At 46.7% G+C, this 7863-nt stretch overlaps 1 long non-coding RNA gene across 1 annotated transcript; it reads right to left on the reverse strand.

Annotated features, from left to right (window-relative positions):
* Window positions 1-3167: 3167 nt before the first annotated feature.
* Window positions 3168-6989, reverse strand: LINC00489 (long intergenic non-protein coding RNA 489). Its single transcript, NR_047461.1, has 3 exons — window positions 6699-6989; window positions 5961-6070; window positions 3168-3309 (listed from the first exon to the last, which is right to left on the reverse strand). It is a non-coding gene; the product is annotated as a long intergenic non-protein coding RNA 489 (long non-coding RNA).
* Between the last annotated feature and the right edge of the window lie 874 nt (window positions 6990-7863).

Genomic DNA, 7863 nt, shown 5'->3' on the forward strand with positions numbered 1-7863 from the left:
AGCACCGCCTTACTTTTATTAACTCACAAGATCCTCATAATACCTCTCCATGATTACAGAGGTATTTCCACGTTAAAGATGAAGAAACTGAAAGCTATTCATTCAACAAGTATTTGTTGAGCTCCTCTTGTAAGGCAGTTACTGCTGTAGGGTCTGCATAGACAGCAGTGAGCAAGACAGATGGAAATCCCTGCCCTATGGCATTCTAATCAAGGGATAGATAATAAAGAAGAGAAATGAGTAAAATATATGGTATATTAGAAGATGACAAGGGCTGTGGAGAAAAATAAAGCAGAAAAAGATATTGAAAGGGACCCAGGGGGAATGGGTACATGGAGTAGTCAGAAAAAGCCTTAGGGAGGGGCATTTGAGCAAAGGCCAGAAAGAAGTGAGGAGGAAGTCATATGACTATTCAGGGGATGTGCATGCCAGGCAAAGGTCCTGCGGTAGGTGTAAGCTTGGTATATTTCAGGTTTGGAAGGAGGCCAGCATGGCTGCTGCTGGGTTAGAAAGGAGGAAAGCAGAAAGACATGAAGTAGGCCATTGTAAGAACTCTGGGTATTTCTCTGCATGAGATGGGAGCCACAGGAGTATGAGTGTTGAATTTGCCAAATAAAAATACAGGATGACGACTAGGCGAGGTGGCTCATGCCTGTAATTGCAGATCTTTGGGAGGCTGAGGTGGGCAGATTGCCTGAGCCCAGGAGTTCAAGATCAGCCTTAGCAACATGGCAAAACTCCACCCCTACAAAAAATATGAATGTGGTCGCATGTGCCTGTAGTCCCAGCTACTCAGGAGGCTGCGATGAGAGAATCACCTGAGCCTGGGAAGTTGAGGCTGCAGTGAGTCTTGATTGCACCACTGCACTCCAGCCTGGGCAATGATGTGAGACCTAATCTCAAAAAAAAAAAAAAATCCATAAAAGGGTGCCCAGTTAAATTTGAATTTCAGATAAAGCACACAAAAAAATTTTCGTCTAAGTATGTCCCCAATGTCGCATGGGATATGCTTATAATAAAAATTATGTGCTGTTTATCTGAACTTCAAATTTAACTGGGCATCTTGTATTTTATCTGACAAACTAACATGGGAGGGTCTTGAGCAGAGGAGTGACATGGTCTGACTTGGATTTCAAGTGGATCTCTCTGGCCAGTGTGTGGTAGACAGTCTGAGGGGTGTTATGGTGGAAGCTAGAGGCCCCATGAAGAGGTCGTTACAAATGACCCAGGTAAGAGATGATGGAGATTTGGAGCAGGGTGGTTGTGAGAAGAAGTCAGGTTCTAGACACATTTTACAGGTAGAACAAGCAATGCTTCCTGTTGGATTAAACGTGGAGTGTGAAAGAAAGAGGGGTCAAAGCTGACTCTGAGGTTTTGGGCCTGAATGGCTGGAAGGATGAAGGAGTCATTTACTGAGATAAAGAAGGGTAAGGATGAGTGGATTAGTGGGGAAGAAAGGGGAAAATCAGGGGTTCAGGTTTGGGTATTTTAAGTTTGAAATGTTATGAGGCATTCCACAGGGAGATGTGAGATGGGATGCTGTACAGGTTAAATAGTGTCCCTCCAAAATTTGTGTTTACCCAGAACCTGTGAAGGTTTTTGCAGATATAATAAAGTTAACATGAGGTCAGACTGGATTAGGGTGGGTCCTAATCCAATGACTGGTGTCCTTATAAGAAGAGGGAAATTTGAGCATAGAGAAATACACAGAGGGAAGATGCTGTGAAGACATTAACACCATGTGAAGATGGAGGCGAAGACTGGAGGGAAACATCAAGCCTAGGGATGCCATGGGTCGCTGGGATCTGCTAGGACAGATCTAGAGGTCTGCAGGAGGGGCTCTGGGTGGGGCTATGATTTAGGACACATCAGGGCACAGATGATATTAATATATTATTTTTTAATTTAAAAATTTTTTTTTGAGACAGAGTTGCGCTGTGTCACCCAGGCTAGAGTGCAGTGGCACGATCTCGGCTCACTGCAACCTCCGCCTCCTGGGTTCAAGCGATTTGCCTGCCTCAGCCTCCCAAGTAGCTGGGATTACAAGCACATGCCACCACGCTCAGCTAATTTTTTATATTTTTAGTAGAGATGTGGCTTCACCATATTGGCCAGCTGGTCTTGAACTCCTGGCCTCAAGTGATCCACCCTCCTCAGCCTCCCAAAGTGTTGGGATTACAGGCATGAGCCACTGCACCCGGCCTGACATTAATATTTGAAGTCATAGATTAGATAATATCACCAAAGCAGTGAAAGTAGATGAAGAGGAGAGGAGGACCAAGGACTGAGTCCTGGGGCCCCAGACTGAACAGGTGGGAAGTTAAGGGGTAGCCAAGGAAGGGTACAGAGAAGAAGCTGCTGGTGAGGTGGGAGGAGCACCAGGCAAAGGCATGTGGAGAAAGTGTTTCCAGAAGAACATGATCAATTGTATCTATTGCTGCTTTAGGGGCCAGTAAGATGAAAACAGAGGAGTCACCATCGGGTGAGCAGCCTGGAGGTCATTGGGGATTTCGGCCAAGTCAGTTTTTGAGGGGTGGTAGGGGATTAAGCCTGATTGGAGTGGGCTCAAGAGAGAATGGAGGCTAATGCAGGCAGATCACTTGAGTCCAGGAGTTTGAGACCAGCATGGATGACATGGTGAAACCCCATCTCTACAGAAAATACAAAAATTAGCAGGTATGGCGGTGCGTGTCTGTACTCCCAGCTACTCAGGATGCTGAGGTAGGAGGATCACTTGAGCCCAGGAGTTGGAGGTTGCAGTGAGCCGAGATTGTGTCACTGCACTCCAGCCTGGACAACAGAGTGAGACCCCATCTCAAAATAATAAAAAAGAGAGAAAATGGAAGATTCTTCCTCTTCTTTTTCTTATTCCTCTTATCCTCTTCTCCCCTCTCCTCTCCCTTTCTCCTTTCCCTTTCCTTCCCCTCTCTTGGAGGTGCCAGAATTACCAGGGACTGAGGAGGCAGCAGGACCAAGAAGGCAGCAGCCTGGCTGGAGACCATGGATGTAGGGGAGCCATGGTCATGGTCATCATGGTTGGGGTATTGTTTGCATATAGGAAGCTGAGCAAACATTGAGGGTAATGGGAGCCAGCTCTCCCTCCCCATCTAATCAGCACCCCATTCCTGCCAATTGCCCCTCCATAATCTTGTGATCCTCACGCAGTGTGCCTCTGCACACATATTTACTGCAGTTCTATTCATTCATTGATTTAACAAATAGTTTTGAGCCTGCTACTGGCTGCTGGATGGAGATCTTAGGATATAGCAGTGAACAACACACAGTCCCTGCCGTCTTGGGACTCACATCCTAGAGAAAAAGATAGACATTAATCCAAGAATCACACAAAGAAATGTCAAATTTCAACAATGATAAGTGCCTTACAGAAGAGGTCCCTTGGGCTTTTAGCACATAATAATGGGAGTTTGACTTGCATTGACCTGAGAAGATAACTTTTGAGTGGAGACCTAGTGGTGGAGGTGGTAGGAGATAACTAGGCAAAGAGCCAGAGAGAGTGGTCTAGGCAGGGGACATAGGTGGCCAAGGTCTACTGGGTGTGGGGGGTTGGGGGTTCAGGGCACATGTGAGCAGGGCAAGGAGGAGTGGTGAAGATGAGGCCATGTGTTGGGTGCAGTGGTTCACGTCTGTACTCCCAGCTACTTGGGAGGCCAAGACAGGAGGATTGTGTGAGGCCAGGAGTTTGAGACTAGCCTGAGCAACACAGCGAGACCCTGTCTCTACAAAAATAAATCAATAAATAAGGCCAAAGGATGAGCAGAGCCCAGAACATGCAGGACCTCGTAGGCCATGATAAGGAGTTTAGTTTCTTTCTAAGAGCACTAGAAAGCCAGCATAGGGGTTTAATCAGGTGCAACATGATCTGGTTTGTATTCTTTAAACAATTTTTTTAAACTGACACATAGTAATTGTGCATATTTATGGGGCATTAGTGATGTTTTGATACATATAATGTATAGCAATCAGATCAGAGTAATTAGCATATCTGTCATCTCAAATATTTATCATTTCTTTGTGTTGGGAACATTCAATATCCTTCTTGCAGTTATTTGAAACTAATACATTATTGTTAACCCTAGTCATCCTACACTGGTATAGAACACTAGAACTTGTTCCTGGTATCTAGCTGTAATTTTGTATCCTTTAACAAAACTCTCCCTATCCCCACTCCCTTAACCCTGCCCAGCCTCTGCTAGCCTGTGTTCTAATTTTTACTTCTATGAGATTAGCATTTTTTAGCTTCCACATATGAGTGATAACACATGGTGTTTAATTTTCTGTTTCTGGCTTATTTCACTTAACATAACGTTTGTATTCTTAAAAGATTATTTGGCTGATGTCTGGAAAATGGATTGTAAGAGTGCGAGAGTGGAAGCGGGGAGACCACAGAGGTGGTTTTTGTCTTGTAGGAGAGAGAGGATGGCAGCTGGACTAGGGCATCGGACATGGTGATAGAGAGGAAGTAGGAGACAGAAGTGCTGGGATGAGTGGGATGAATGGTATCTTGACTGGTGGGGAGGGTGTGTTGAGGAGTCAGGCTTTGGACTTAGTAGGAGGGTGGATAGTGGGGCTGATCCCCAAGAGCCCAGAAAACAGGGAGAGCAACAGGCTTTGAGGGCTGATGGGGCATTTTGTTTGAGACTTGCTGCAAAATGTCCACAAGGAACATTTGAGCAAGCTGTTGGTTGTGCAGATCAGAGTTCAGACTAAGGCAGTGACTTCAGCCTCAACTTATCAGCGACAAGCATTTGAACAAGCCTAACTTTTACTTATCTCAATGCGCAGATGAGAATGAACTGTCCAGGAGAAATGATCTCAGGCTGGATCAATCAGAGAAGGTGTCATGGAGGAGGTGGGACTGGAGCTGGGTCTTGAATGATGGGTAGGATTTAAGGAAGGGAAGGGAGGGTGTACCAGGCAGCATGAACAAAGGTACTGAGGTGAGAATAAGCATGGGGCATGCCGAGGGTCACAGAAAATGACGAACAGCCCATTTTGGGTGATGGCCACTTCTGTGGAGGCAGGGAAGGAGGAATGAGGTCCAGGAGGGGAGATCAGGAGCCCTCAGAGTTCCTCATAATGTTTTAGTGCTTAAGCTGTGTGCTGGGAAGATGAGCATTTGTTATGTGATTAACTCTATTTTCTTGTTCTTAGATATAGTCTGTCACCCAGGCAGACTCATTGCAACCTTTCCCTTCCAGGCTCAAGCTATCCTCCCACCTCAGCGTCCTGAGTAGCTGGTACTACAGGTGCATGCCACCATGGCTGGCTAATTAAAAAAATTTTTTTTGTACAGATGAGGTCTCACTATGTTGCCCAGGCTGCTCTCAAACTCCTGGACTCCCTTCTCCTTCAGCCCCCCAAAGTGCTGGGATTACAGGCATGAGCCACTGTGGCTGGCCTGATTGACTTTCTCTCTCTCTATATATATTTTTTGTTTGTTTGTTTGTTTGTTTTGTTTTGTTTTTGAGATGGTCTATCACCCAGGCTGGAGTGCAGTGGCATGATCTTGGCTCACTGCAACCTCCGCCTCCTGGGTTCAAATGATTCTCCTGCCTCAGCCTCCTGAGTAGCTGGGATTACAGGCGTGCACCATCATGCCCGGCTAATTTTTGCATTTTTAGTAGAGACGGGGTTTCACCATGTTGGTCAGGCTGGTCTCGAACTCCTGACCTTGTGATCCACCCACCTTGGCCTCCCAAAGTGTTGAAATTACAGGCGAGAGCCACCGCACCCGGCTGATTGACTATGTTTTGTATGGTTAAGATCATTTTTTATAATTCGTGGTCTAGAGGGGCGAATAGAGGGGAGAGTAGAGAGGGGTCTCTTAGGCTTGAGTTTACATTGCAGCTTCCTAATGGTGTGACTGTGGGCCTATGGATAAGGGACTTCATGCATTTGAACCTCTTTTCATCTGTAAAATGGGCATGAAGAACTCTTACCTCATCATCTCTCCTTCCCTCTCTCCTTCCATTTCTTCCTTCTTCCCTCCCTCTCTTTCTCTTCCTTCCTTCTGATAAATATTTACTATGTGTCTACAGTGTGGAAGGCCCTGCACAAGGTCCGAGAGATATGTTCCCTTATGGTACTTACAGTCTTTAGAGAGAGATATGAATCAAACATATACATGAATGCACCACTGCAGACAGTGATAAGAGCTATGAAGACAACAAACAAGAGCTTCCGTGGTGAAGAATAAAAAGATACTGAGACAGGGTGGCCAGGGAAGGTATTTCAGAGGAGATGTGAAGGAGTTTGCCTTGGAGGGGGTGAAGAGAGAGGGGAATGTGTCGGTCAGAGAGCACAGCATGAGCAAAGGTCCTGAGGTGCGAAGCACACAGGGAGCTTTGAATGTTGGTGTTAGCAGTCCAGCCAGAGAGTGCCAGGCAAGGGGGAGAGAGGCATGGCAGGAGAGGTTGGGAAGACATGTGCATTCAGGAACATGGGCTTGCAGAGCACGTAGCACGGTGCTTGGTGTGCGTGCTCAGGAAATGCTGGTGGCCTTTCTTCCCACCCCTTCTTGGGGGCCATGGCTAGGGTGACAAATGGACTTCTGAGGGCAGAAAGGGGGCCTGGAGGCCTGGGAAGCCTCTAAAGAGCACCTATGGTAGCTATGACGATGAATCCAACTCCTTACTTCCTCCCCAGCATGCCCCCAATTGTATGTTCCCACTCTTTACCATGTTATTTTGCAGTGCCCTCCCATTGCAACTTGAGTGGACGTTGCTCAGCCATGGGACTTGCTCTGGCCAATGGGATGAGAGCAGAGGTGCATCGAGCAGGGGCTTGATAAGCACTTCCGTGGTTGGGCTTGCCTGCTTGTGCCTCAGCTACTGCCACAAGAACATGCCCAGCCTAGCCTGCTGGTCCTGGGAGGAGGAGGGGGCAGAGCTGAGCTACCCCAGCCAAGCCAACCCAGCTGACCCACAGACTTACAAGTTAATTAAATGCTGCTTGTTGTTTACCACGGGGATTTTTCTGGCTGTTCTGTGTGTAGCACTCATTTCTTTGCTCCAGTGGGGTCCCTGGATCTGGGTCTTTTCTGCCTTCACCCAAGCCCAGGAATACTAGAAGAGAGATGGTTGGGCCAAGCCCAGGATTCTGACCTCGGACCTGCTGAAGCCTCAATTTAGGCACCAGGAAAGCCCTTCTCCATATGGGGTCTCAGTTTTACCATCCACTTAATGAAACATCTGGCCCTGATTGCCAAAGCCTTCATAGGGACTAAGAGCTCAGGTTGTCCAAATATGACTATGTCCCTCCCTTACTTAAAACACTCAGTGGCTCTCCATAGCTTTCAGAGAGAAGTCGAAGCTCCCTAGGCTGGCATTCAAGGCTCTGCATGGCTTTCCTCCTGTCCACACTTGCAGTACAGCTCCTACCACTCACTCTTTGCTTCAGCCATGCCTTATTGGCTCCAGTCTTATCATGTTGTGCCTGTTCATGCCTCCGAGTCTTTGCACCTGCTATTCCCTCTGTTTGCAAAGCCTGCCACTGCATTTCTCTGCTTTGTGAATTCCTATGCATGGGCTGTGGCTTGTTTTTAACTAACTTTCATTTCCTAACATTCACTGAGCTCTTACACTATGCCAGGCACCTTGCTAAGCTCTGTGTTCTAGTTTAGTCTTCCTGGCAACTCTATGAGGTAGGTATTATTATCATCTCTTTTAAATATGAATAAACAGAAAAGTAAACTGACTGATACAAGTCACAGCTAGTAACTGGTGAAGCTAGGATACAAATTCAGGCATCAACAACAGATTTGAACCTAGGTCTCTCTGTTTCCAGAGCCTATGTCCTGTGGAGTCACCTCTCCATGATGCTTCTTGCAGAATTCTCATGCAA

Source organism: Homo sapiens, chromosome 20 (genome assembly GCF_000001405.40).
Source record: "Homo sapiens chromosome 20, GRCh38.p14 Primary Assembly".
In the NCBI taxonomy this organism is placed as follows: Eukaryota; Metazoa; Chordata; class Mammalia; order Primates; family Hominidae; genus Homo; species Homo sapiens.